The sequence below is a fragment of the Homo sapiens genome, chromosome 10, assembly GCF_000001405.40.
Source record: "Homo sapiens chromosome 10, GRCh38.p14 Primary Assembly".
NCBI classification, from domain to species: Eukaryota; Metazoa; Chordata; class Mammalia; order Primates; family Hominidae; genus Homo; species Homo sapiens.
Window position 1 is genome coordinate 21,726,522 of NC_000010.11, and position 27,295 is coordinate 21,753,816.

The window sequence follows — 27,295 nt, forward strand, 5'->3', positions numbered from 1 at the left end:
GTTATGTTAACTAGCTTGATTTTATTATTCCACATTACATTCATATATCATAACATCAATTTGTACTCCAAATTTATATAATTACAAACTGTCAATTTACAATAAAAAAGAATCACAGTTGGAAGTAAATAGTATGCTGTGCTGCAAAATAGCAATGTCCTTTTTTTTTTTTTTTTTTTTTTTTTATTGTCTGAAATGGAAATGTTTCAACAGAGCCATCAGCAAGCAGGAATGCAGCAGTGTCTCCTGTGACTTTTGTGATTGATGTGTTCAGTTCTCAGTTCTATGCAATGAAAGTAACATAACACTGGGCTTTTCTGTGAATAGCCTAAACCTTTATTTGCATAATTCATGAAATTGTATTACACAAACTTGGTTAAAAAAATCCTGTTAGAGAATTTCTGCAGTGTTTAGTAATCCTGTGAATGTTCACCAGTTGACGTTTTGTCGCATTTGTCTCTTGTACTGTCTTAATGAGCCACTGGATTTGCTTTGTTTCATTGCATCCTTAAGGATTGGTTGACATGTCCAAGTAGTCATGCCTGTTTGGGGGAAGGGAATGGATTTAGCAGTTCACCAAGAATGGATCAGTCTGTCTTTACCGTTTAAGGGTCAGAGGTTACCTGACTCAGAATAAGGGGAGGACAACCTTGAAAGAGGCCAGATAAGGTGATTTTTATAAGGAACTAACTGCAGGGGAAATACAAGTTACTTTCCAAGCAGAGATATATGATATTACCTAAGGAATATTTTGAAAAGTTAATTTTTTTCTTTAAAATTCAGGATTCTGTATTCCTACTTGTTTTTGTCAATTTGGAAATTTAGTGTTTTATGTAATTTTATTCTTGGTGTAAGGCTCTAGTGTCTAACACCATAATTTTAGTCTTGGTGTGCAGCTCTATGTAAATGTGTTTTATGGCTTGTCTTGGGATGCAAAGTGTTAAAAAATACAAAGCATACGGATTTGCTGTGATAAGCATACAGATTAGCTGTCCACAGCTGTGATTCATTACTTTAACCGTAGAAATTAAAAGTGGCTGAGGGGAGGGTACAGCAAATGCAAACCACGCTTCTGTGCTGTAAAATTGAAAGGAATGAAAGAACAGAACATAATCCATGGCCTTCTACACCCACAAAAACGTGTAGGGACAACGCCTTACATGCCACAGTTCAGCAATTCTGAACTAGCAACATGCTAGATCTTCTATTTTCGTGGGAACTGCAAAGATAGTGGTAAAGGTTTAATGTATGTTTTAGGAAAAATCAGGGCAAGAGTTTAAAACCTCTTATCTAGTGAGAGTCACTTTATCAGCTCTGAAATATTTACACTACAGATCAAGATCTTGGAGACAATAGCCGCAACCTAGTTGGCAGAGGAAGCTCACCCCGAGGAAGTCTCTCGCCACGGTAAGCGCTATTTACACTGCAAAGTATAGGCAAAGGAAACGTTTGAGATTTGGAAACTTTCTTATCTCATATCAGTAGAGTGTACATTTGTGAGGCTATAAAAGCATTCTACAGATAAGAAGCATGTCTAGACAAGAAAAATGATTCTAAATTAATTTAAATATTAATTTAAACACCATTAGATTTCTAAGTAAAACAAATCCCTTTCCTTTGGTTTCCAATCAGTTCGAACTCTCTTGTATTTATTACCTGTATACTGATTTGAGTAATTCTTTTTGATCATAAAATAGTTTTAAGATCTCTTAAAGTTGTAGACCCAAGACTTTCAAGTTTGGGTTCCAGTTTTAGCTCTGTTCTGTGTAGCACTTAATCCCTTAGTCTCTAGTTCCTAATTCAGTAAAGTCGTGTGGTAGATCACTAAACTCCTACTAGTTCTTAAATTGTTTGAATCAGTTATAGCAAATGTATTACAAGTTTTTTGAAATCATTTTATGACAGTATTCAGGTACCATTTATTAAAATCTAATTAATATATTTGGGGTTATCAAACTGCATATTCCTTCTGTTCTAAATGGGGAGAATGTGGTATGAGATACTGTGTCTGCTTGTAGGGGAGAATGGAACTTTGGTGATAGCTATCTCCTTATTAATTTTATTTCCCTTCTGTGCGTTCTCTTTGTTTTCTCCATGTTCTCTAATTTAGGAACCCTCCCTCAAGCATGGTGTTAGACTGGGTGACAATGGAGAGTAAGAGAAAAGCCCATTCTAGGGTCTTTCTTCCAAGAATGGGAGAAACGTGATTAAAAATGAAAACTTTGGTCAGGCGTGGTGGCTCATGTCTATAATCCCAGCGCTTTGGGAGGCCAAGTTTGGAGGATTGCTTGAGGCCTGGAGTTCAAGACCAGCCTGGGCAACATGCCAAGACTCCATGTCTACAATTTTTTTTTTTTTTTTTTCCAAAATGAACTTTTTCATGTGATGACAGATCATGAATAACAGTATTGCTGATATATTTGGGGAATGTCTGTTAAGGAACATCTTCTTTATCCTAAAGATTAGTTCAGTAACCACTAATTTCATTTTCTAATGGTACATCTAGTGATGCCTTTTTTTCTGTATAATTCCTGGGTGAACTAAAAGTAGTATTGTTTTCCCTGATTGAACTCTGCAGAAAATCAAATATCCATTCTTTGGAAACCAGGAATCTGAAGAACAATGATAACATGATCTGACTAGTCTGTGATTTTATGCTGTGATTAATTCTATGTTGTTTTTCTTTTCAAAGAAGAAAGTTAATGTTTGCTCAGTGTTTAGTGGAAGAAGCATTTCTCTGTTGCCCTTTTAAACTTAAAATATTACAAGCTACCGAGAATTATTAAGAAAGTGCTATTTTGCTTAATATAGTTTTTCCTTTTCATTAGTTAAATGGGACTTAACAAATGGTACTAAATTATTTTTAGCATATTATTTCCAACTTTATATTACTCTTTAGAAATCAGCCTGAGATGTAACAGCCTAAATTATCCTGGTATAGTGTACTATTTGCAGAGGGATGGCCAACTGTATGTGGCCCATAATGTTTACATATGGAATAAAAACCCCATTTGTTTAACATCTTACGAAAATTTTGCAGAGACGCATATTAAGGCAGTGTCAAGAACACTAGTGGGTTGTTAGAAGACCTGAGTTGTATAGCCCAGCTCTTGTCACCTCACCAGCAGTGTGTCTTTGGACAAGTCACTAAAACTCCGTCCTGTTTCCTCATTTGAAAATGGAGCCAATAAACCAGGTTTTGACTTCTCACTAGGTTGTTGTGGAGATCATATGAGATATATACAAACGCATTGGAAATTCTAAAGCTCTTTAAATGTATTATGTTAGAATGATAGCTGGAGACCGGAAATGGCCACACTTATTTAAACCAAAAAGTGTAGAGAACATTACATGTTCATCTTAATACAAGTGCTGTTTGTTTTAGAAGGGTTATCATTTGAAGTATAGATCTAAGACATTTTAGAAATATTCATGTAAAAGGATCAAAAATTGCTTTGGGGGCTGGGCACGGTGGCTCATGCCTATAATCCCAGCAGTTAGATAGAGAGGCCTGGGCGGGAGGAACACTTCAGCCCAGGAGTTGGAGACTAAGCTGGGCAACATGGTGAAACTCCGTCTCCCCTGCCCAACCTCCCCCACCGCCGCCTCCCCGCCCAAAAAAAAGCTGTGCGTGGTAGTGTGTGCTCTTGTGGTCCCAGCTGCTCAGGAGGCTTGAGGTGGGAGGATTGCTTGAACCCAGGACCCAGGAAGTCAAGACTGTAGTGAGCCATCATTGCACCACAGCACTCTAGCATGGCTGACGAAGTGAGACCCTATCTCCAAAAATGAAAAAAAAAAAAAAAAAAAATTGCTTTGATCTTATTTCTTAATTGTGAAAATACTTGAAAATGAGTAATTTTTAATTTATAACAAAAGGCTGCTTTAAGATTCTTAAAAATTTCTTTTTAGTGACATTTGAGATTTTAGTTGGTTGTAAATTCAAATACCTTTTACAGTATTATACTTTTTCAGGTTATTATGATGGCAAATATATCAAAGCAGAATGGTGAAACCCTTTTCTGGGAAATTATTTTTAAGTCTAATTTTGTCTTTCCCTCTTTTGTCTTATAATGCCATACCAAGTTATTTTACAGCCTATTTCAGAGATTGTTGGTGGTGTGTTTATATTTTCTAGTGGTTTTTAATTATCTATGATGGCTAGCTATTTCCTTGATTCTATAATATTGGGAGGAAGAATGATAATTACTCAATTTTAGGGTAGATTATGGTTTTCTAAATCCAGGAACCTGATACTTCTGGCATAGGCAGCCTGGTGTTATAAAACTCATACAGGAGAAAAGGGGTCAGCTTAAGGTAAGAAACTGTACTCTCTTAAAAGCATTCCCCTTCTTTTTAACTTGAGAATTGTTTTCAACAGATCCCCTGTAAGCAGCTTACAGATTCGCTATGATCAACCAGGCAACAGCAGTTTGGAAAATCTGCCTCCAGTAGCAGCCAGCATAGAACAGCTTTTGGAGAGGCAGTGGAGTGAAGGACAGCAATTTTTACTAGAACAGGGTACTCCTAGTGACAGTAAGTATTCATTTTCTTATATGTGAATCAAGACAGATGGGCAGATGGACAAACAGGCAGATGGATGCAGAAGTCACTTTTCATCCAGAGTAGTAATGGGATTATGATATACATTTTATATAATACAGTGAGAGAAAGTATAAGGTGAAGTGGTTTAATAGAAGAGATTCTATAGTGTTACTGCTTGGACTTGAATCCTGTCTTTACCTGTTATTAATAGTATGATCTTGGGCATGTTTTTTAAAGTTCTTTAATCTCCTATTTTTACAATTGGGAGTAATAATGCACCCATATCAGAGGGTTATTGTGAGGATTAAATGACATGAAAAATGTAAGGACCACTGCCTGGCTCATACATAGCATTGTCTCGGTGCTTACCATGATTATACATATTGGTACTTTGTGTCTCCACTGTACTTTGTTCTTATCAATCAGTTTACTAAAATACATGAGCACTGTCTTCTCTTACCCCAATTGTTAGAAGAAAACTTGCTCACCTCTGGAAAACTTACTTTAAAAAATACAAATAGTCAAGTATGGCCGGCTAGCTTCTTCATTTTATAATTTGGAGGAAGAATAATAATTATTGAATTAAATCTATAATTAGTATATATTATGCTTATCATCTATTGGATTATAGAGCATGTACTATATATCTGTGTTTCAGTATCTTCACCATTTCAAGTATTAGGGCCGTGGGTGTAAAATGCAGAGTTAAAATAGGTGGTGGTTAGCTGGAGATGTGGCCTTGTCTTAATTTTAGGGAAAAATAGGTGGTTTTCATCATTTTCGAGTATAAACTTTTGCTGCCTCATTTTATTGAAACATTTTGCTTATTGTTGGCTAGCTAAGTGCCATAAATTGGTATTTTATGAATGGTACCCTGACAAAAAATGCTAATTAATTGTGAGGAAATTCATGCCAGGCTAATCCTTTAAACACGATAGCTGGAGGATAGGTTTAGCTGAGTCTTATTGCATCTCATTTGGGCCCACTAAGGTTTCTTTGTGGGATCTTGGAGGGGAGGGATAAAAGTTAAATCCATGGGAAACGGCCAGATGTGTCTGTACCAGAGGAGTTGTATCTTCTAAAGGCCCTGAGGTCATGTTAAACAAATACAACTTTTTAGTATGTGACGGACACTTCAAAAATCTTAACGGCAACACTCTGTGTTGTTAGCTGGGAGGTCCAAGTTGTGGAAGGAATTGAAGTACTTGAGGTGATGGGGCCAGACTGAAAGTCAGCCTGTTTACAGGGGATGCGCCTTTCTCCAGGACTGGAGAGGTGGCTGGGCGCACACATAGCGCTCCCTGCTGGGTGACCTGCAGAGCAACATGCTGAGCAGCTGGGATTAGGGGCTTCCTGCCAGGCGTCTGATGGCAGCACTTCGTTTAAACCGGACAACAAACAAAAACATGTGCTCATTATTTTGGTAGAGGGTATTGGTGCGATCCTTAACCATTCTGTATATGACTTCAATGCAAAATAGTGACAGGCACTTGAATTTTTAATAGGCTTTTATTTTGATGAAAATAAAATGTCATTACTTTTCATTGAGAATGGAAAATTACCTGAAGCTGGTGTGTGTTTTTTGGTATGTGGCAACAAAGTTTCCAGAAGGTACATCCAGGAACACTTTGCCTTTGTGCTTATAAAAATACAAACATAGATAGGCAATTTATATCCATAAACAAATTTAGGAACAAAACTTTATCATTTAGAAACACTTTACAGAATTTCTACTGTTCTATTTTAACTTATTTCTAAGGTTACCGGCACTGCGTAAAATACTTAGTCTTATGTGTGTACTTGTCATTATTAAAAACTATCCAAATGTGTGGTAGTTTTAGGAATGCTGAAGTCATTACACCAACTTCAAGTTGAAAACCGAAGATTAGAGGAACAAATTAAAAACTTGACTGCCAAAAAGGAACGGCTTCAGTTATTGAATGCACAGCTTTCAGTGCCTTTTCCAACAATAACAGCAAATCCTAGTCCGTCTCATCAAATACACACATTTTCAGCACAGACTGGTAAGTGTGAAAATATTTATTTTGTATCTAAGGAAAATAGGCTTTCAGTTTTATTTGTATTATAAGTGAGTAATAATTGGTCACCAGTTATATGAAGATGTAGAAAAGGAACTATAGGTTGTTTTTGAAGGGCATAAAGAATCCTGTTAAGTGATCAACTTGAATTTAACTTTCTTAGTCCATAATATAATGGTAAAATTTACTTAAATGTCTAATGATCTCGTTATTGATTTAAAGCGATGGTATTCAATATAGATTTTTTTTTCTTATTTAAATCAGTCTTAGGAATAGCAAGACTAGATATTTAAGTGGTTTTGATACGGGCTTCAGCATAAGCTTTTTAATAAGCCTTTAATCTTACACATAATGTAATTTAATAGGGTAAATAGGTTTCTTTTTGTCTTTTATTATTCTAGCTCCTACTACTGATTCCTTGAACAGCAGTAAGAGCCCTCATATAGGAAACAGCTTTTTACCTGATAATTCTCTTCCTGTATTAAATCAGGTAATTTTTGTATGGTTATTTTCATCTATGTTGATTTACTTGTGAATAATAGTATATTAAATGGTTTAAAATTATTTTAAACAGTTTTGCAGTGTTCTTTAAACTTAGTTTCTCTTCTTTCTTACGCTGGGACTTAATGTCCAGTGGACTTAGTTTCTCTTCTTTCTTACGCTAGGACTTAACCTCCAGTGGACAAAGTACCAGCAGCTCATCAGCTCTTTCTACCCCACCTCCTGCTGGGCAGAGTCCGGCTCAACAAGGCTCAGGAGTGAGTGGAGTTCAGCAGGTCAATGGCGTGACAGTGGGGGCACTAGCTAGTGGAATGCAGCCTGTAACTTCCACCATTCCTGCCGTGTCTGCAGTGGGTGGAATAATTGGAGCTTTGCCAGGTAACCAACTGGCAATTAATGGCATTGTAGGAGCTTTAAATGGGGTTATGCAGACTCCTGTCACAATGTCCCAGAACCCTACCCCTCTCACCCACACAACCGTACCACCTAATGCAACACATCCAATGCCAGCTACACTGACTAACAGGTAAGAAACTTAAGTATGTTTTGGGTTTTTTAGTATAACAGAGTACCGGTGTTGTCTATGCCTTAGATTGGGGCTTTCAATGTGTTCCTTTGTAGATACACCTTAAGAAGTCTGCCAAAAATTTTAAGTATATTATACAGAGTACATTTATTTTTGAAACTTAAGTAATTTAGATTAAAATTAAGTTACTTTTAGTAACAGCATTATGTTCTGTGCTGAAAATTAGTCTTAATCTGTGATGTCTGTTTTTAAATACTAGTTTTTCTTATTTCTTTGTATACTGTATCATAAATTCTGAAGAAAGATATCGTAGTGGAGATAACATGAATATTAGTTTCCTAAAATTTATGTAATATTTTTAATGTTCTAATCAAAGATTTTGATATAGGATAAAGGTCATTTATCTGAATTCCCAGGAAGTGAGACTCACTGGTTTCATTGTACTGGAACTGCATTTGAATGTTTGTTCAAAACTAGGGGACTAAAGCTATGTTGTTATTAAGCATACTTTTGGGGGAATAAATACTTTTAAATGGATTTGCAGTGGGTACTAGAAAGCTATTTCCTGTAGCTCTCTTCCTTGGTGTTTAGTTTTACCATTGGGACCATTAGAAAAGGATAGGTCAAATCAGTGGTATGTTTGGATTCTTTGTTTCAAATATGTGTTTACTTAGTGTGAGTTAAATTATCCTTGAATAATTAAAGATAAATTATTACATACGCTTGTTAGAAACACATGTAAATTTCTATTCCATAAAATGAGTTAGGGCCTATTTGTTTTATAATAAAAACATTTCTTGACAATGTGAATTCTTGTTTAGCTGTACACATGGATGTATATAAACATACATATATATAGAAATTGTACATAACTGTTTTCAGAGTGTTTGGATTCAGAATTGTACTTAAGTTATTAAACATCAAATTGAAAAGTTGTCTTTCATTTTTAGACTTCTAAAAATGCATTAGAGGTGTGTAGTAAAAAGTAAGAATTGTAATCATTTTTCAGTGCCTCAGGACTAGGATTACTTTCTGACCAGCAACGACAAATACTTATTCATCAACAGCAGTTTCAGCAGTTGTTAAATTCTCAACAGCTCACACCAGTAAGTTCTTTCTTTTGATAATATCTTATTAGGAGCATGTGTTCTAAGCTGTAATATTCACTGTGGGTACAGATTTCTCCTTTGTGAAATAACATTATTGAATGCATAATCAAAAAAGTTTTTCTTGCCATGTGGTACAGGCTGTGATACCTGCAGTGATGTCACATTCATTCCTGAACTTAAAAGTGACAGGGCACGTGGCATGGTGCTGCCATAGGCTCTGGTAACACAGTGCTGAGATGTGGTGCGTGTTTTCCCGGAGCTTCATTTTGATACGGGAGATGGATGGACACGATGCACGCTTTTTGGTTGTGATAAATACTGAGAAGAACAAAGAAGTGGAATAAGTGGGGAAGAGCATAGGGAACCGAGGACCATTTTAGATAGGATGGCCCCGCCTCTGCAAGGGGGGTGACTTTTGAGCACAGACCGATGTGAGAGTTCAGGGAGTGTGCCTTTGTGACTTGAGGGAACGCAGAGAGAAAGCACGTTGGAGGTAAAGGGGCAGCTGCTGTCAAAGGTCTGGACGTACTTGTGTTCGGAAGAGAAGTCAGCAGCCATGTGGTCAGAGGGTGGGAGAGGTCAGAGCCAAGGGGGTGGTCTTAGATGATCGCATACAGCCTTTCTTGGCTGTGGCAAGAAATTTGGATTTTATCTTAAGTATGAATGGAAAGCCACTGGCGAGTTTTTAAAAATCTATTACGGAGGATTTCAAGTGTACCAAAAGTAGAGTGGAGAGCACCCTGAAGACCTATGTACGCCTCATTCCATTCTCTCACCCAGTGCTAATAATCTTAGTTTTGTTTATCTCATTTCATTCTCCATTTTTTTCAGGATTAAGAATTGGAAGGTTTTGAACAGAATAGTGAAATAATGATTTACATTTTAAAGGATTAGTTTTGCTGCTATATGGAGAATAGTCTGTGTGTGTTATAGGGTGTGGGGGAGTGAAGACAGAGGCAAAAGTGGAAAAAGGGAGTGATCCAGGCAGGAGACGTAGGTGTTAAAATAGTATGGGCTACGTATTGAAAACTGCCTGGAATTGTGGTATATATATGTATATTTTTGAGAGGGAGTTTTGCTCTGTCGCCCAGGCTGGAGTGCAGTGGCACAATCTGGGCTCCTTGCAACCTCCATCTCCTGGGCTCAAGTGATCCTCCTGCCTCAGCCTCCCGAGTAGCTGGGACTACAGGCATGTCCCACCATGCCTGGCTAATTTTGTATTTTTTGTAGAGACAGGGTTTCACCATGTTGCCCAGGCTGGTCTTGAACTCCTGACCTCAAGTGATCTGCCCTTAGCCTTCCAAAGTGCTGGAATTACAGGTGTGAGCCACTGTGCCCAGCCAAGATGTTTTGAAGACAGAACCAACAAGACTTGTTTGCTGGACATACAAGAGAAAGAAGAATTCTGAATGGTTGGTTAGTGACTTTTACTGAGATGTGGGAGAACAGAACCCAACCAATTTTGGAGAGAAAAATAGGTGTCATGGACACACTAAGCTTGAAATCTCTTTAGATGTACAAGTCAAATGGAGATAAGGCAGTTGCACAGTAGGTGTCTGGAGTCCCAGGCAGAGATGCAGTTAGTTAGAAATCTGGGGTTAGTGCTGCACAGGTGATGAGAGCCATCAGATTTGATGCGGACTCCTAGAGCATGAAGACTGAGTCCTGGACACCCTAGAAAAGGAGAATAAGCCAGTAAAGAAAGGCTATTGAGAAACTGTGGCCAGTGAGCCAAGAGAAGGACAGTGTGGCATCTTAGGGGCAAGGTGAAGGAAATGTTTCCAGAAAGGGAGGAGTCAACTGTGTAAAATGCTTCTGTGGTAGGGTAAGAAAGAATTGACCAACCGGGCGTGCTGGTGCATGCCTGTGGTTCCAGTTAATTGGGAGGCTGAGGTGGGAGGATCACTGGAGCCCAGGAGGTTGAGGGTGCAGTGACACCTGCACCTGACAGGGACTGTTTCTTTCTTAAAGGTTGTCTAGAGGCTTTTTACAGTTTGGGTGTGATGAAAGTAAAAACCTCATTAAATGGTTCAAAAGGAAATGGGAGGGAGAGGAAGTAAAGATAGCATATGGGCACCTCAAGACATGTCACTTTGGAAAGCAGAGGAAGGGGAAGCAGGAGGCAGATGTGGTGGGCACACGGGGCAGTTTCGACTCATTTTGAATGTGACAGCGTGTGTGTATGTTGATGGGACATTGCTGGGATAGGAGAGAAGAAAGGTGCTAGCAGAGGAGGAGATGAGAACGGTATTTCACTGCCCCAGCAAGGCAGGCAGAGCAACTGGAGGTGGGTTTTATGTGGAGGGTTGAAGCAATCCCACTTTCAGTGCTTCTGATTTTCTTAATTAGAAGTAAAGTGATCAGCAGAGGGAAGGAGATGGGTGTTAACGGTTAGATAAGAGGGGAGATGGGAAATAGAGAACTTGTAGAAGGGGAGAAAGTATGGACCGAGACCCAAGTGGGATTGTGGCTCAGGTGCAGGGCAGGCCTGGCCCTGTGGACAGTCGTGGGGCTTCCTCCAGACCCATTTCCCTAGCACTCTTCATTCAGTTGGGCTGCTTGGAGAATGCATTGCTTAATTAACATAGAAATTACAAAGGCTGACATCCTTTCTAAGTATATTTATGTACTATTTTGCTGCAGTCAAAAATATATTGAAAATACTTTTGATTCTGGATCATTTTCAGTCTGTTTTTAGAGTGGTGTTAAAGGCACACTGCATGTAAGTGTATATAAATTCTTAAATGCTGGCCGGGCGTGGTGGCTCATGCCTGTAATCCCAGCACTTTGGGAGACGGAGGTGGGCGGATCACGAGGTCAGGAGTTCGGGACAAGCCTGACCAACGTGGTGAAACCCCGTCTCTACTAAAAATACAAAAATTAGCCGGGTGTGGTGGCGCGTGTGTATAATCTCAGCTACTCAGGAGGCTGAGGCAGGAGAATCGCTTGAACCAGGAGGTGTAGGTTGCAGTGAGCCGAGAGCACACCACCGCACTCCAGCCTGGACAACTAGAGCGAGACTCGGTCTCAAAAAAAAAAAATCTTAAATGCTGACACTAAGATGGGATCTTGTTTTTTCTTACCAGTTGCCTCATCTTAATATGAGCACTAAAACTCCATTTATTTGGGTGTCTTCCTATTAATCAAGATTTTACTCTAATAATAGCATGTGTAGCTGTCTCATTTCCAGAACATGGTTAAGGAATTTTCAGCACAAATTATTGCTTGGAGACCATGAGGACTAAAGGACTGTACTTTTTCCTTCATCTGCCAATGTCGTGGGCTAAAGTTTGTTCATTTACAGGGATCAAACTTAACGTAGGTGAGGATTTTTTGGAAGCCTCCGCACAGCTTCCGCTCGACACTCTTGCTTGACTCTGCTTCCCCCAGATGACTTGCATGTTTGCTAAATCCAGTGGTCCCTTCTCATTCTTCATCTTAACGTCACCTGGCAACGGCATTAGACAGAGTTGATCGCTTTTCCTCCTCCTTGAAACATTTCCTCCTCTTAGCTTCCAGGATACCACATCATCTTGGTGTCTTACTACCTAACTGGTCATTCCTTTTTAGCATCCTTTCCTGGGTCCTCCTCTTCAGCCTGAGAGTGCCCAAGGTGGAATTCAGTGATCTCTCATCACTGTCTGTAAATAGCATCTCTGTGCTGATACTTACATCTCCAGCCAGACCTCTCTCTGGAGCTTCAAGCTCCTGTAATGCAGCTGCTCACTCAGTAGCTCCGCTGGCATATCTTAAAAGACATTTCAAACATAACGTGTCCAGAACCGAACAGCTGATCTTCCTGCACAACCCCGCCCCACCCATCGTTTTCCTCACCTCAGCTGATGGCAGCTCCATCCTCACTCTGACACCCCACATTGACTCCATCCTGAAATCAGACTGTGCCACTTCTCAAAACCTTCCCGTTTTACCATGAATACAAGCCAAGGTGGCCATGCCTTGCCACTGCAAGCTCTGTGTTCTCCTCACTTCCTCCTGGCTCCCTCCACCCTTCCCGGGTCCTTGCTGCCACTGGATCCTGCTGGGCCTGCTCCTCTGGAGGCCTTTGGCACTGCCTGGAAATCCTCACCTGCCCCCATATCCACCCAGCGAATTCCCTCTTCTCCTCCAAATCTTCATCCAGATGTTAACTTCCCAATGAAAACTGCCCTGGGTAATCTGCTTAAAATTACAACCTGACCATTAAACCCTACTCCCTCCAGACTTTCTCATACACAGTTGTGTTTCCCTTGACGCAGAGCAGTAATCACATTCTAACGTTTTCATTTATTTCCCTTTCCCTGCTCAATGTGTTTCAAGCACCAAAAGCAGTGCCTGGCACCTAGTAAGCACTCAGGAAATCTATAAATATACGCTGCATGGAGTATATGCTTGCTGTAGAGTGGTAACTGCATCAAGAAAGCACCCTAATGACAGGCAGAAACGGGAACTTTAAGGTTGTTTTAAGTTTGGAAAGGGTTTGACCACGCATGATGCATTCAAATGTCCACCTTGATTTCTCTTAAGCTGCTGCACTTCCTGATTGATCATCACGGATAACCTAATAGAGCTCTCCTATGTGTGTCCTGTTTTGAAAATAAGCTGTTTGCTGAAGATACTGACATTTTATAGTAGATGGTTATTATCTAGTGCAGCATATTTTTCTAGATGAGATACTTGTTTTCTTTCTTTGCAAATATCTAATATTAAAGGAAAGAAAACATAAGGCAGCTCATCTGACTGCTGAATTCCGTGCTTGGGAACTCATTTTCTCTCACATGTTTTTTGCCTAAGGAACAACATCAAGCCTTTTTGTATCAGTTAATGCAACATCACCACCAGCAGCACCACCAACCTGAACTTCAGCAGCTGCAGATCCCTGGACCAACACAAATACCCATAAACAACCTTCTTGCAGGTACACAGGCACCCCCACTTCACACAGCTACCACCAACCCATTTCTCACCATCCATGGAGATAATGCAAGTCAGAAAGTAGCAGTAAGTATATTTTCCTTACTACATCTAATGAAACAAGAACTGTATTGATTAATCGGAGATGATCATTTTCCAGCCTGGTTTTGTTCCCCTGATCATTTCTTCTTAAAACCAGTTGCTTTTAGCAGATGGATATTATAGGCAAAGGATCTAAGCCAATTTATACGTCCCCTAAGTATATCAGTTTGAATTTGCACATTAGGTTTGAAGGCTGTTTTGTAATTCAGCAATTTTCAAGATGACAAAGTTAGCAAGTCATATGGGACAATCAAATCAAAAGACAATAGTTGGTGCTTTCTGAGAAGCTTTGTTTATAGAACCAGTCTATATATCTTGGAAATATTTTTATTTTACTCCAAAGTGCTTTTTACACATTAAGTATATTTATTACCAAGATGAATATATACATTTTAGGGCACACAATCCAATAATTCTACCAGATTAGAGGGAGTAAATCACAGTCACATCTGTAATGGAATTCAAATTTTTAGTTATTAATTTCATGTAAGTGATGGCATCGTACCCTTTCAATGTGAAAGTTAAATTAAAAATGGATGCAGGAACAGTATTCTACACATACAGTAGAACCCATTTTAAGGCCGTTTCGATTAATTCTCCCCTTCAATTAGGTCTACTTTACTGGAGTATAAATGTTTCCCCTAAATTCCAGTTCAGGGCAGAACCCTGTTAGAGGAAGGCTATGGGGATGTAGAATGGAGACTGGACATCAGGAAAAGGAAGAAGGGAGGGACTGAGGTGGGAGACTTGGCAAATGAGTGTTCAAAGTTGCAGTGTTTGCTGTTTCCCGTTACTTTGAAAGTTTTGTTTACTGTGCTTTTAGTCTTCAGAAACTTTAGTTTGTACTTAGTAACGAGAATTATTCAAAATAGAGGATTGTTTTTCATGAACTCTTCAGTGCTTTCTGTCTGCCCTCTTGTCTCGCCTACTTCCTGTCATCACACACCGCATTACCTCTCCAGTGTTCTGCTGACATGGACAGTTTTCAGTGATTCTGTATTGAGTTCTTTGGTAGTATTTTTTCCCCCCCAGTGTTTCACCAAGTGTTTTTCTTGTGTTAAGAAATGCACTAATTACAAACTTTTCCTAGGTTATACAATATGAAATGTATTTAATGGAAAATCACAGTAATTTAATGAGCTAATAGAGTGCTCATAATAGAGAACACAGTGCTGGGAGGTGCTGTTTGCTTAGTACCCTGCTATGTGCCAGGTGTCCTTGCAAGATACAGTGACATTTGTGATTTCAGTCTTTAATAATAGGCTGTAACTCCATTTTTTTTATAGATTAGTAAAAGGAAACGCAAAGAAAGCCCAAGGACAAATAGCAAATGTGGAATCACAGCCGATGACTTTCTTAGCCCATAAAAATTTCATTCTCTACAGTACCATGTTACTTCTGTGGAAAAGTTGATTTTGGAAGATGAATTCTGCATTCATTCTTTACAAGTTCTGTCCCTCAGATGGGCCCACCTCTTTGGTCTTTTTATACTGTTGAATTTAATGTTTTTAAAGTATTTACTAGTAAATTCATGTCTATATATTACGTTGCAAGTAGCCTTGCCAACTTGCAAGAAAAAAGGGAGTAACTTTCTATACCACATTTTATCTCAGTCACAGTTTCAAATTCGGAGAATATTATCAAAAGTTGATTTAGCTAACGCATCTGCTCTTTTGTTTACCTGCAGAGACTTAGTGATAAAACTGGGCCTGTAGCTCAAGAGAAAAGTTGACACCTGAGAAACATCTAGAAATTGCCTATCCTGCTGTTCTAGCACTTCATCTGGCTGCCTTTGCAGTCCTTTTACTACAGCTATGAAGAAACGCAACAAGAAACTCAATGCACAACAAAGGATTAATTGCTGCAAGGACATTCTTGTAAGGCTTTGATTAGTTTTCTTGTTGCTTTGTTGCACTGAAATGGAATTCCCATGCCCCTACCCCTTACCCCAGTTTTTTGAACATGGAAAGAAAATTTAATAACTTTTTAAAGTGACATAATTTACATGCAATATGTTTATCAACTCAAGAATTTAATATAGTTGGTACACAACTAGTTTTGTTTATAAATTGGAGATGCAAATAGCAAAACTAAATACTTGCTCCATTTACAAACTACTTGATTTTATTGTACAAGTTGAAATATGCTCTTTTGTTTGGGTTACAGTATGCTTGCTCTAAGTCAAATTCCAAGGAACTAATTTCTTCTCCTGGAGTTGCATTGATTCAGTATTACAAATATATAGCACATCACCTGGGACTTGGCAATCTTTGTTAAAAAAAAATTTCCTTTCTAATGGGATTTGGCCAATTTTGGTAATGAAGTTAGGATGGTAATGTCTGCATCTGCTAAAGGTAATTTTCTTTTGAGAATTGCTTTCTTTAGTGTTAAGACCTACTCATATTTTGAAGAAATCTTGAGTTAAGTGAGTTCTGAGGCTGCTGGGGGAACCAGATCAATTCAAAGCTAAATACTTCTTTCAGAAAGGGGCCACTGTGGAAAGTGCTGGTGGGGTTTGCCCTTGATCAAGTGCCTCCATTGTGCTGCAAGGGCTGTAGACAGCAGGGTGGGACAGTCAGTCCTCCGAGCAGCAGGAATCATCCCGTCACCTGCAGCCTTCCCATGCTTCCGCCTTTATTCAGAACTTTCTGTGCCACTGTAGATAGCTCAGGCAAAACTATTACCTGGGTATTTATCCACTAATGAGTCACAAGAAAAGGAGTGGATTTGGTAAGAATAGAGATTTGTTTTATTTAAACCACTTCCCATTACTGACCATTAAAAGCTCACCACTAGAGTTCCTGAAACAGGTGAAACCTGTATGACAGCCCTTCCACTTTGGGGAGCCACGCTTTTGATGTGACAGTACCGCAGAGTGATTCCCCCACTGAGGATGTCATCATCAAACTCTTCTTTGGTGTGTGAATTATTAGTGGAAAAGACCCAGCTGTAATTAGACCTCCACTGTGTACTTAGCTGGAAGAACATGTTAATTCTGCAATATGTTTCTTGGTTAAACATTGCACAGTTCTTACCTCATTTCTGTAAATAAAGTTTTGTGAATCTGTTTTGTATTGTGACAAATTCATAAGATAACATTGATATTTTGATTTGTAATATTTCTAATTGGTAGATTTAATTGAAAAGTAAAATTAATTTATTTTTATATGTTCAGGGGAATTTTAAAGTCAAATCTTTTGTAGATAATTTAAAAAATCAGTGTGGTTTATTTTACTTATTTAACCCACTGGTTGTTATTCTGTAACAGTTTGTATAAATGGTAAATTTTGAATGTGTTGTTATTTTACCTAGATGTAAAATTCCACATGTATTAAAATGTACAAAATGTTTTGTTAATAAAATTTAATAATGTTTATAACTCCGTGCCATTCTCATTTGGAGAGGATGGAGGGGGTGCACCCATGTTGCTTCCTCAGGGAGTCTTGGCCTGTGTTTTGTGTTTGGAGCACTGGTATATTGCCCCGGAGTTAATGGAAACTCTCATGAGCAAATGCTATACGATGTGCAAAGCATTCTGTAAAGCACTGTGCGGTACAAACCCACCTCGGGCTCAGAGATCTTGGATCATCCTCAGATGAGACGGAGAGAGAAGAGGGAAACAGCCTTGGTGGAGATAAAAGGAAAACAAAGTCCTTTTAGATGAGATAATTAGAGCCCGTTGATAAAGCAGTACTCACACTTGGTAGAGAGAGATTCTTCTTCTTTATACAGTTAGCTTTAACTAGAGGCATATCCATGAAAGAGAAGCCCAATCTACTTAGTGGTCTTGGGGTCTTGGTAAGCATCAGAATCACCTGTGGTGCTTTTCAAAAATATAAATGCTCAGACTTTTTATCCCAGACTTAATTGAATCAGAACATACTGATCTGTGTCAAGTGCTCCTGGTAATTAAGAGGCACATGAACAAGAAAAACTGGTCCTAGGCTATAAACTTTATTAAGGAGTGAGTTTTGGGTTCCTGGAGAGATTTTTTTTATGCACATGAAAAATAATTACGACTCTAGAAAGTCGTCTCTTCTCCCAAGGCGAAGGATTACCTTCCCTCTAGAATGACAGGTGACTCATCCATCAACTCCTGCGAGTTTAATTCCTCAACATGTGTCCTTTGCCTTAGCTGCATGTTTGTAAGTGTCCGCTTCTGTAGCTCTCTGGCTTCCTGGAGGCTCCGGGACGTCGACCTCGTCATCCTGGGTTGCTGCCCTGCAGGGCCCTGGCAGCTGCTGGTTCACATGTGCGCCTTGTGCTCTGGGAAGGGCACTGAAGAGCTGCTGCCCTGCTAGTGGCCCTGAGCCTTGAAGAAGGTCTACACTGGCTGGTTGCCGTCTGCACTTCTGTACTTTAGTCCTGTGGATGTGCAGTCCGTGTTGTGGGTCAAGATCAAGCACTGGGCCAAGACAGAAAAGCCAAGTCGCTGTCTTACGCTGCCTACCAAGCAGAAGGGAACGATGATCCCATAATCCTCCCAACAGGCAGGAGAGGCCCTTGGAATTGCAAGGGAGGTACCACCTTACAATGAAATGTAATTTTGCTTTCATAAGTGCGTTATGTACCTAGGTTTTAAAAGAAATGGTCTCACTCTGTCGCACAGGCTGGAGTGCGGTGGGGAGATCATGGCTCACTGCAGCCTCAAACTCCTGGGCTCAAGCAATCCTCCTGCCTCAGCCTCCTGAGTAGCTGGTACTACAGTCAGGAGCCAACGTGCCTGGCTGTCTGGGTCATGTCCTTCTGAGTAGAAATCTCAGTGAGACAAATACTGTTCATCTTAGTTTTACTTATTGAAAATAAAACACATCAATGATACCATCTTTTCATATAAACTAGTCCTTTCAAAATGAAATAGGGGCAAACTTTTAAAATTTGGGAGTCATTTTTAAAATAATTTTTACTTTGATAAAATTCATGTCAATTGTTTTTCCATTCCCCAATCTGTTATTTGCAACAAAGGAAATGTCTTTTTCACACCACTTACTGATTTTTGCAATTCAGTCCAGATTTATGTGAAAATGTAAGTTTCGTTTGACCGTGACTTAGGTCACAGTTCAAGTTTGGCAGGTCTCTAAGGGACAGATTCCCCACTGAGGTAAATGAATGGGGGCAACTCATCTCCCTTCCAACTGTCTCCAACATGTCTCAGCCTCAGATCCCTGGCTGCATCAAGGTCTGGAGGCCTACAGTCACATGGTTGTGGAGCAGACAAAGTGCCTATTTTCCAAGTTTGTGATCCACATCCACCTCAGGGCACTGGTGACACTTTTAGGTGTTAGAATTAACCATTTAATAAAAATTATCATGACTACTTTTTAAGAAATTTGAACCAGAACAAAAGGCCTTTTTTTTTTTTTTTTTTTTTTGAGACTGAGTCTCACTGTCACCCAGGCTAGAGTGCAATGGCGCAATCTCAGCTCACGGCAACGTCCGCTTTCTGGGTTTAAGCAATTCTCCTGCCTCAGCCTCCCGAGTAGCTGGGATTACAGGCGCACACCACCACGCCTGGGTAATTTTTGTATTTTTAGTAGCGATGGGGTTTCACCATGTTGGCAGGCTGGTCTTGCCTCCTGACCTTAGGTGATCTGCCCGCCTCGGCCTCCCAAAGTGCTGGGATTACAGGTGTGATCCACTGCGCCCGGCCTCCTTTCATTTTTTTATAAAATGATACATCTACAATTTTAATATTTTCTCTTTTCCTACCTGGTTGAATATACAAAGTTATGGCCTGCTTTTGCCACTTAAAGTGACAGGAAAGATCTTTGAAATCAAATTTTGTGTTTATTAAACTAATCATTTTTTAGGCCAGTTAGGCATGGCTGTCACAGCAGGAGCTGTGTAAATGATGTTCCCTTGTCTTTTAGGGGAAGGGGATCTCGGGGGATTAGGGGAGTAGGGGCAGCATAAAGGGCAGGGTTGGAGAGGACTACGCTAGTCACAAGGGATCAGGTGGGCACAGGAAATGAGGCTAGAAGAGGGCTGTGGGTTTGCAAGAAAGAGATGATTGGTGCTGTGCTGGAGTGTGGTTTCTGTAGTCCTGTGGCCACAAAAGGAAGACTGTAAATGCGCATTAAGGCAGCAAGCAGCGTGGATAGTGCAGTGAGGTGCCCTCTCTACAAAACAAAGTTAGCCAGGCATGGGGTATACACCTGTAGTCCGAGCTATTCAGGAGGCCTAGGTGGGAGGATCATGTAAGCCCAAGAGGTCATGGCGGCAGTGATCATGTCACCACACTCCAGCCAGGGTGACAGAGTGAGACCTCTTCTCTTAAAAAAAAAAGGGGGGGGGGCTAGCAACTGGTCGGGCATGATTACTCACACCTGTAATCCCAGCACTTTGGGAGGCTGAGGTGGGTGGATCACCTGAGGTCGGGAGTTCGAGGCCAGTCTGACCAACATGGAGAAACCCCGTCTCTACTAAAAATACAAAATTAGGTGTGGTGGCACATGCCTGTAATCCCAGCTACTCGGGAGGCTGAGGCAGGAGAATCACTTGAATCTAGGAAGTGAAGGTTGTGGTGAGCTGAGATTCTGCCATTGCACTCCAGCCTGGGCAACAAGAACGAAACTCCATCTCAAAAAAAGGCGGGGTGGGGGGATTGGCTAGCAAGGTGCAGAGTGGGTGAATTCGGGAAAGGCAGATGGGAGAAGGGAGAAGGTGGGTATCAGGAGACAAGTGTGTTATTTCTAGATCTGGGTCCAAATATTCCAGATGAGCTCACTGCCTCTTCTCTGGCCTGCTTTTTGCTGCACACTCCCAAATTCCATGAGGTTGAATTTTCAGGTTTTGTTCACAACTGTTGGTTTACTTCAGGTACAACCAGAGCTAGGCCTTTGGTTGGTGAGGACTCCAGCGCCCCACCCTCCAGGTGAGCCACCAGTGTGGCCACCACCCTTGTCTACTTTCAATGGGAGAGCCATGTCCTCCGAGTGTGGACAGTTGGCAGAGGGTGTTCCCAAGGATGCTGAGCTAGGCATCATGTCAAGCCCTTCACCTGCTTTGCCTCACCTCCGCTTCACACAACTCTGTGAGGGCTGTTTTGTCTCCCCCATTTTGCAAATTAGGAAGTTGAGTACCTTAGGAAGATACAGTCACATAGCTGCCAAAATGTGAATTGGTGCAATTAAGAACAAGAATGATCTGAGGCAGGTAAAGTGGCAGCACCCCTTGACGCTCTTAAAGCCCCTCCCGACTCAGAGTTCCTAAGGAGTGGCGGAGGCTGGGATGCCTCTTCAAGATTGAGGCCTCTCGGGGTGTGGGCTCGGCCCATCCATCCAGCACTGGCTCCCAGCACAATTCCACCCATTGCTGTGCACCCCAGCAAAACCCAGCCATGCTGTTCTTGAACATACCATGTCCCTGACATCCCTGTGCCTTTCCCAGGCATCACTGGTAACTAGAATCATAAAGGCCTGGACATGGCTATGGCTGGAGTTTGAGCTGTCCCTGGCTCTGCATTCATTCATAGTCTTTCCAAGGGGTGTAGGGGTGTGCGAGCCTTTGCCTGGGTGCAGACTGGAAAGGAACTAAGGAAGAAACCAGAGACCCCTCGGTGGACCTGTGCATTGAACTGGTTTGGGGAATTCAGGTGAGATTATGTGAGACGACTGGAGAAGACAGACAAGTTGGAATCCCCCGCAAAAAAGCTAGGGAGGCTTCAACCTCCTGGAGGCTTTTAGGGAAAAGGAATTCACCTTTTCTAAGGCCCTAGCTCCAGGCGAGCTGCTTTCTCCAACTCCCTGGGAGGGATTCTTACCCTCCAGCTTATTGGAGAGGAGACCACACAGGCAGGTTGCCATACCTCTGCTCTGGCTCTTTTGGACATGAGGGAAGCACCATAGCTCCCTGAATAGAGTGGAGGATTCTGCCGGGGTTTAGAGCAAAGGGCTCTGGAACCACCAAGCTGACCCTCACCAGACCCCTACAGAGGGGGGCAGTTGAAGTCACTGGGGTGGGAGAAGGGTGAAGACAAGGAAGAAGACTGCAGACTTTGGGGACACCAAGACTAACAAAGCAAAAGATGAAACATCTGGACAGGAATCTGAGGAGCCGCCAGGGGAACTCTTGGTTTGATTTACATCCATTTCACTCCAGAATGTGAGGCTGTAGAAAGCTGGAAGATGTCATATACCACCTTCAGGATTAAAGGGGTAAGGTCAAGCCTGAAATCACCTTTTGGACATGGTACTTAGGTATTTGGTGACATGAACAGGAGCAGCTTTGGTGGCGGGAAGAGAGGTACAGGAGTCAGATGACAAGGGGCTAAAAGGTAGGAGGCAGTGTCTAAGGCTCCCAACGTGTGCCCTTAAATACTTGATTGTACAATGAGGTTGTATCAAACCAGTGTCAGTTCACCTTGCTTTAACAAAGTGCCATAATCTGGCCGGGTGTGGAGGCTCACGTCTGTAATCCCAGGACTTTGGGAGTCCAAGGCAGGAGGTTCACTGGAGGTCAGGAGTTGGAGGCTGCAGCTATGATCACTCCACTGCACTCCAGCCTGGGTAAGACCAGGACCCTGTCTCAATGACATAATTTTTTAAAAAATGCTGTAGTCTGGGTGGCTTATATACAACAAATATATTTCTCCCCGTCAGTGAGGCTCTGTTCCAGAGGCAGAAGGCCAACTCACTCGGAAGGGGGCAACTCTGCTCTCTGGCCTCCCATTCATGGGGGCTCCACCCTCCTGATCTAATTATCTCCAAAGGCCCCACCTTCTGATCCCATCTCCTTCGAGGTTGGGGTTTCGACACATGACCTTGCTGAGGGGAGACAGATATTCAGTCCATTGCAACCAGTGAAAAAAGAAGTTACCTCATGGTTTGCAGCAAACTCAACGGCATCTTCATTTTGGTAGTACCTTCCAAAGTTTAAAATTAAAGCATGAAATTCAATTTGTGCTGATCAGGTTTGTTTTCCTTCAAACTCTGATGACTGCATCTGGGGTTTCTCACTTGGCTCCCGTAACAAGCAGATGGATGAATTAGGGGATTCCATCTTGGTAGCACTGCCACCTTGCTGGTTCCCCAGGGCTCCTCCAGAGCAGGCAAGGTCGGGTGCTCTCTGCAGCTAAGTTGCCCGCGTACATTGAATTGCTGAACAAAACAGGGTCCCATTTGCTTTGCAGGCTCTTAGCCTCATGCAGTGGTTCTTCCTGGCTGGCCAGTAGAATCACCTGGACATCAGCACCTTCATGCGGTGATTCTCTACCCAGGACCCATTATTTCCCCGCCCCTCCCCCAAGACAGGGTCTCACTCTGTCACCCAGGCTAGATGGCAGTGGTGCAATCATAGCTCTGTGCAACCTCAAACTTCTGGGCTCAAGCGATCCTCCCACCCCAGTCTCCTGAGTAGCTGGGACTACAGGCATGTGCCAGCGTGTCTGGCTGAGTTTTTTATTTATTTATTTTTTTAGAGACAGGGTCTCATGTTGCCCAGGCTGCTCTCAAACAATCCTGCCTTGGCCTCCCAAAGCGCTGGGATTACAGGTGTGAGCCAGTGCACCTGGCCTGCAACCAATTTTTAAATTCTAGTTTTTAACAGAACAGGACAGACATAATTGTAGCCAAAGAACAAATTTCCAATAGTGATTGTTTTAAGCCAAGCCTCTTAAAAAGGGAAAATAGCTGTGGTCAAATATGTCAAGATATCTACTGTTTAACTGCAGTGATATCTAACTTTGTGAAACCAAGATTGGAACCAAAATGACAGTATAAGCAATGAGACATTTTATCTTACATTTCACAAGGTATTTCTTTTTGAGTAATAACAAAAGCAAACATGACCGAGATGGCTCACTTTCCTTTATGACTGAGGCCACAGTAAATCATACAGCGACCCTACTGTTGCCCCCAAAATCTGTCAATTTCATTTTGTAAACGGTATACTTTTTAAACTGTATGACCCACAGATGAAGTTTATTGCAGTAAACTCACGTAATAATCCAGGAAATACTGACCCGAGGACGCTCTTGGTTTGGGGCCATTCCTGACAAGGCTGTGAGGGCAAGAGGCCCCCACTGTAAGCGACCCTGGCCTGGCTCCCACCCCACGTCTCAAACTCAGGAGTGAGGTTACAAAGGGAGTCCCCCGACTAGAGGGAAACACTATGCGTGTTTCAGCCCAATATTTGGAAGTCGGATTTGTTTTAGAAAATACCAACATCTGTTTTTACCAAATGACTAACCTTGTCTAGTTGCAGTCACGCAAGCCGCACGCCAAAGTCTCGCCTCTCCTCAGCCTCCACAGCCAACTCCTGGTCTTAAAGGCCTGAGCCCAGGTGCTGGTCCGTGGCTGGGAGCGGGAGGCCTGCAGCACAGGTGCCGGTGCACGTAGTTGCAGAAGATCCTGCCAGGCTGGGCACTGACTCAGGTGTCTCTGGAGCTCAGCCATTCTCTGAGGCAGGTGGGTCTTCACGAGGGCTGGGGCGGGACCAGGACTCACCCCTACCCTGGGGCTTTCTAAACCAAAGCAAGACAATGGAAATCTCCGCACTATCCTTCCTCTCTGGGGAGTTCAGCGCCCCTCTGAAAATCTGCAGGCATTTGGGATGGGCCACCTGTTAGCAATGCCCCATAAGACAGGAAGGCCGCATTACGTAGCACCCAGGCTGGGTGTCCTGGGCCCCAGGGAACACATGGCCTCCCTGTATGCACAGAACATGATTTAAACCGTGCCATTTAAACTTCAGGAACAAGCCTAACTGCCAAAATAAACAACAACAACAACAACAACAACAACAAATACCCTAGAAAATTAAGTTGGGATGAAATATTTGATAGAGCTTTAGTTCTCTACTTGGAGAGGAGTTTGGGGGAGTGTGACTGGCATATATCAAGAAGAAGCCCTGCAGCAAGAGGCATTTTTTAAAGTGTCTGAAAACATTGACAGTGGGAAGCTTATTATAAGAGGTCTTATTCTAAAACTGCAAAGGCAATTTGAGAATACTCCAGTGGAAGACTAAACCCACAGTCTGCAACACTCAGGGTGTTTGCCAAGCACGTGTGGACCAATTGAAAACAAACTCCTAGGCAGTTCCCAAAGCAAATTCTGCAGATGAATCGGATGATTTGGTGAAAATCTAAGTAAGCTGGTCCACTGATGAAAAACCTCCTTCCTTGCATGCGCGTCCGTGTGAAGAGCCCACTAAACAGGCTTTGTGTGAGCAATAAAGCTTTTAATCACCTGGGTGCAGGCGGGCTGAGTCAGCGAAGGGAGATAAGGGAGATAAGGGTGGGGCCGTTTTATAGGATTTAGGTAGGTAAAGGAAAATTACAGTCAAAGGGGATTGTTCTCTGGCGGGCTGGAGTGGGGGTTGCAAGGTGCTCAGTGGGGGAGCTTTTTGAGCCAGGATGAACCAGGAAAAGGACTTTCACAAGATAATGTCATCAGTTAAGGCTGGGCAGGGCATTTTCACTTCTTTTGTGATTCTTCAGTTACTTCAGGCCACCTGGGCGTATACGTCCAAGTCACAGAGGATGCGATGGCTTGGCTTGGGCTCAGAGGCCTGACACTTCCCACCCCAACTTTTCCTAATAAGGCATTCTAAGGCCGTGCACGGGGAGCTCTTGCACACCTGGGGAAGAACGTGGCTTGGCTGCACATCCCAAACATTCCTGACCCTCTGTGGGCGGGGGGGGGGGGGGGGGCGGGGGCAGAACCCCCATTAAGGATAAGTAAGACAACAGGTGAGTGTGCTTCGAAAACTGGCGCTATAAATGGTTTGAAGAAATAGTAGCACTGAGATTTCTGCCCCAGTGGGGAGAGAGAATTTAAACCACTAAAGGATAAGAGACTCGGGTATCCAGGAGGATGAGGGCAGTGCCCCCTCGCCTGGTGTCATGCCTGGGAGTATACCCTGCTGCTCTGCGCTCTGCGGGGCTGAGTGGGGTGGGGGCTGCAGATAGCCTCCCTCCCTCCACTCCTCCCCCAGCCGCTCCCGTGCCCTCCTGCAGCCCTCAGAACCACAGCCCTCTCCATGGCCTTGGTCCCTGATCCTTCCCCATAGTCTTCACCTACGATTCAGACGTGGGTCTTCCGATCCAAACTCTGCCCTTAAACCACACCTGAGGAAGAAAAGGAGACCAGGCTGAGGTCAGCCCTAGGGAAGAAACGTCCCTACTCAGTGGCAAGAGGAGGAGCACAAGATGGGGGCAGAGCCGAGAGGGGCCCCGAGTGTGAAGGGCTTTCCGAGAGCAGCTCGCTGCCCCTCAGATATTAGCACCTGCATTCTGTGGACAGGAAATGAGCCCCAGAGAGGGGCTAATATCACTTGCCCAGGCCCCAGGTCATCAGCAGCAGAGCTGCTGCCTGAGGTCCAGTCTAAGGTTCTCCTGTGCACCACATGGGCCCTCCTGGGGCCGTGTCAGGAGAAATGTCACCGTACAGGCTGTGAGCCTTTTTGGGTGAGAGGCCCTTGGGGCACGCAGTGAAAGATGTGGACCCTCTCCCCAGAAACGTACACACCCAAGATAGAATGATTTTGCAAGCCCTTTGCAGGGTCCCCGGGAGTGCACGGAGTGACCCAGGCCCCTAGGCCCCGGGCTGGGATTCTCGCCCCCACGGGCAGGAGATGGAAGGAGTTTGACTCTGGCCCATCAGCGCTGCTGTGGCCATCGCCACGCAGAGACGATGGTGACAGGAAGCCAGGCTGTCAGAAATAATATTGTTTCTGCCAAGCCAGGCACTGCGTTAGAAAGACTTCACACAGATTATCTCACTTTATCATCCTAACAACCTAAGCGGCAGCTGCCATTATTCTCTATTTTCCCAGATGAGGAACTGAGGCATAGTAGTAAAACAACACACCTGATGTCACCCAGCTTCGCGGACAGTGGGAGAGCCAGCGCCCCCCAGCTCCAGTCAGGTCTCACTCCCTGCAACACGAGCAAATGGACATGGCCATGGGGGCGAGGACTGGGGGGCCTGCCGAGGAGCTGGAGCCATGGGGTCCCCAGAAGTAGAGGCCTAGAGGCAGCACCGGTACCCACTGCACCTCAGGGCTGCTCGGTGACCGCTCTCAGGGCAGCCCTGGGCTGTTCTCAAGATCAACTTCACCCTCAGGAGACTAAGTTATGCCCAGCTGAGGATGTTCACAAGGACACACTGCAGGCCCTAGAGGCAATACCCCTGGAGAGGCTCCAGGCCCACGGAGGACGTGGCGGGCCGGTGAGCAGCCCAGGGCCCTGGGCCCAGGGTGGACTGGGGTTTGCCCTCCCACCTGGGACATTCCAGGTTCACGTTTTCTCAGGTCTCATTTAACAAGGAAAAAATAGTACACACAGCACTCATGTCCCACAGACAACTTCTTTTCTTCCCTCAAAAAGGGAAAACCAGCCTGGGCCACAGAGCCAGACCCATCTCTACAAAAAAACAGAAAAAATTTGCCAGGTGTTGGTGGTGCACGCCTGTGGTCCCAGCTGCTTGGGGGGCTGAGGCAGGCGGATTGCTTGAGCCTGTTAGTTTGAGGCTGCAGTGAGACATGATTGTGCCACTGCTCTCCAGCCTGGGCAACCAAGCGAGACTGTCTCTTAAAAAAAAAAAAACAAAAAAAGCGTAAACTGA

At 42.9% G+C, this 27,295-nt stretch overlaps 1 protein-coding gene and 1 long non-coding RNA gene across 5 annotated transcripts in view, besides 7 other annotated features; one reads left to right on the forward strand and one right to left on the reverse strand.

Moving 5' to 3' along the window:
* Positions 1-502: an enhancer, noted in NCBI's record as "NANOG hESC enhancer chr10:22015451-22015952 (GRCh37/hg19 assembly coordinates)". NCBI's record gives its function as "activates a minimal SCP1, AML or CMV promoter by ChIP-STARR-seq in naive H9 embryonic stem cells {active_cell/tissue: H9 hESC(naive)}" and the evidence as "EXISTENCE:reporter gene assay evidence [ECO:0000049][PMID:30033119]".
* The window catches only part of MLLT10 (MLLT10 histone lysine methyltransferase DOT1L cofactor), a 209,875-nt gene extending 192,766 nt beyond the window's left edge, over positions 1-17,109 (forward strand). For 3 of the 4 annotated variants that reach the window (NR_136736.2, NM_001324297.2, NM_001195626.3), the window contains 8 exons: positions 1,335-1,407; positions 4,379-4,533; positions 6,378-6,566; positions 6,983-7,071; positions 7,247-7,608; positions 8,618-8,714; positions 13,509-13,715; positions 15,418-17,109. Coding sequence is in view for 3 of the 4 variants with exons in the window: in NM_001324297.2 (NP_001311226.1) it covers positions 1,335-1,407; positions 4,379-4,533; positions 6,378-6,566; positions 6,983-7,071; positions 7,247-7,608; positions 8,618-8,714; positions 13,509-13,715; positions 15,418-15,462 (1,217 nt within the window). In the remaining variant the exon portion in view is untranslated. The remainder of the gene's footprint in view (positions 1-1,334; positions 1,408-4,378; positions 4,534-6,377; positions 6,567-6,982; positions 7,072-7,246; positions 7,609-8,617; positions 8,715-13,508; positions 13,716-15,417) is intronic. The other variant, NM_004641.4, reaches the window with a different exon arrangement.
* Positions 2-27,107, reverse strand: LOC107984214 (uncharacterized). Its single transcript, XR_001747388.2, has 2 exons — positions 23,919-27,107; positions 2-542 (listed from the first exon to the last, which is right to left on the reverse strand). It is a non-coding gene; the product is annotated as an uncharacterized LOC107984214 (long non-coding RNA).
* Positions 21,489-21,988: an enhancer, noted in NCBI's record as "H3K27ac hESC enhancer chr10:22036939-22037438 (GRCh37/hg19 assembly coordinates)". NCBI's record gives its function as "activates a minimal SCP1, AML or CMV promoter by ChIP-STARR-seq in primed H9 embryonic stem cells {active_cell/tissue: H9 hESC(primed)}" and the evidence as "EXISTENCE:reporter gene assay evidence [ECO:0000049][PMID:30033119]".
* Positions 24,452-25,651: an enhancer, noted in NCBI's record as "P300/CBP strongly-dependent group 1 enhancer chr10:22039902-22041101 (GRCh37/hg19 assembly coordinates)". NCBI's record gives its function as "activates an origin of replication core promoter dependent on BRD2, BRD4, P300/CBP, MED14 and CDK7 cofactors, with strong dependence on P300/CBP, by STARR-seq in HCT116 cells {active_cell/tissue: HCT116}" and the evidence as "EXISTENCE:reporter gene assay evidence [ECO:0000049][PMID:35650434]".
* Positions 24,452-26,063: a biological region, named in NCBI's record as "P300/CBP strongly-dependent group 1 enhancer GRCh37_chr10:22039902-22041101".
* Positions 24,739-25,033: an enhancer, noted in NCBI's record as "tiled region #12954; K562 Activating DNase matched - State 8:EnhW". NCBI's record gives its function as "activates a minimal TATA promoter and a strong SV40 promoter by Sharpr-MPRA in K562 cells {active_cell/tissue: K562}" and the evidence as "EXISTENCE:reporter gene assay evidence [ECO:0000049][PMID:27701403]".
* Positions 25,404-26,063: an enhancer, noted in NCBI's record as "NANOG-H3K27ac-H3K4me1 hESC enhancer chr10:22040854-22041513 (GRCh37/hg19 assembly coordinates)". NCBI's record gives its function as "activates a minimal SCP1, AML or CMV promoter by ChIP-STARR-seq in naive H9 embryonic stem cells {active_cell/tissue: H9 hESC(naive)}" and the evidence as "EXISTENCE:reporter gene assay evidence [ECO:0000049][PMID:30033119]".
* Positions 26,064-26,724: an enhancer, noted in NCBI's record as "NANOG-H3K27ac-H3K4me1 hESC enhancer chr10:22041514-22042174 (GRCh37/hg19 assembly coordinates)". NCBI's record gives its function as "activates a minimal SCP1, AML or CMV promoter by ChIP-STARR-seq in naive H9 embryonic stem cells {active_cell/tissue: H9 hESC(naive)}" and the evidence as "EXISTENCE:reporter gene assay evidence [ECO:0000049][PMID:30033119]".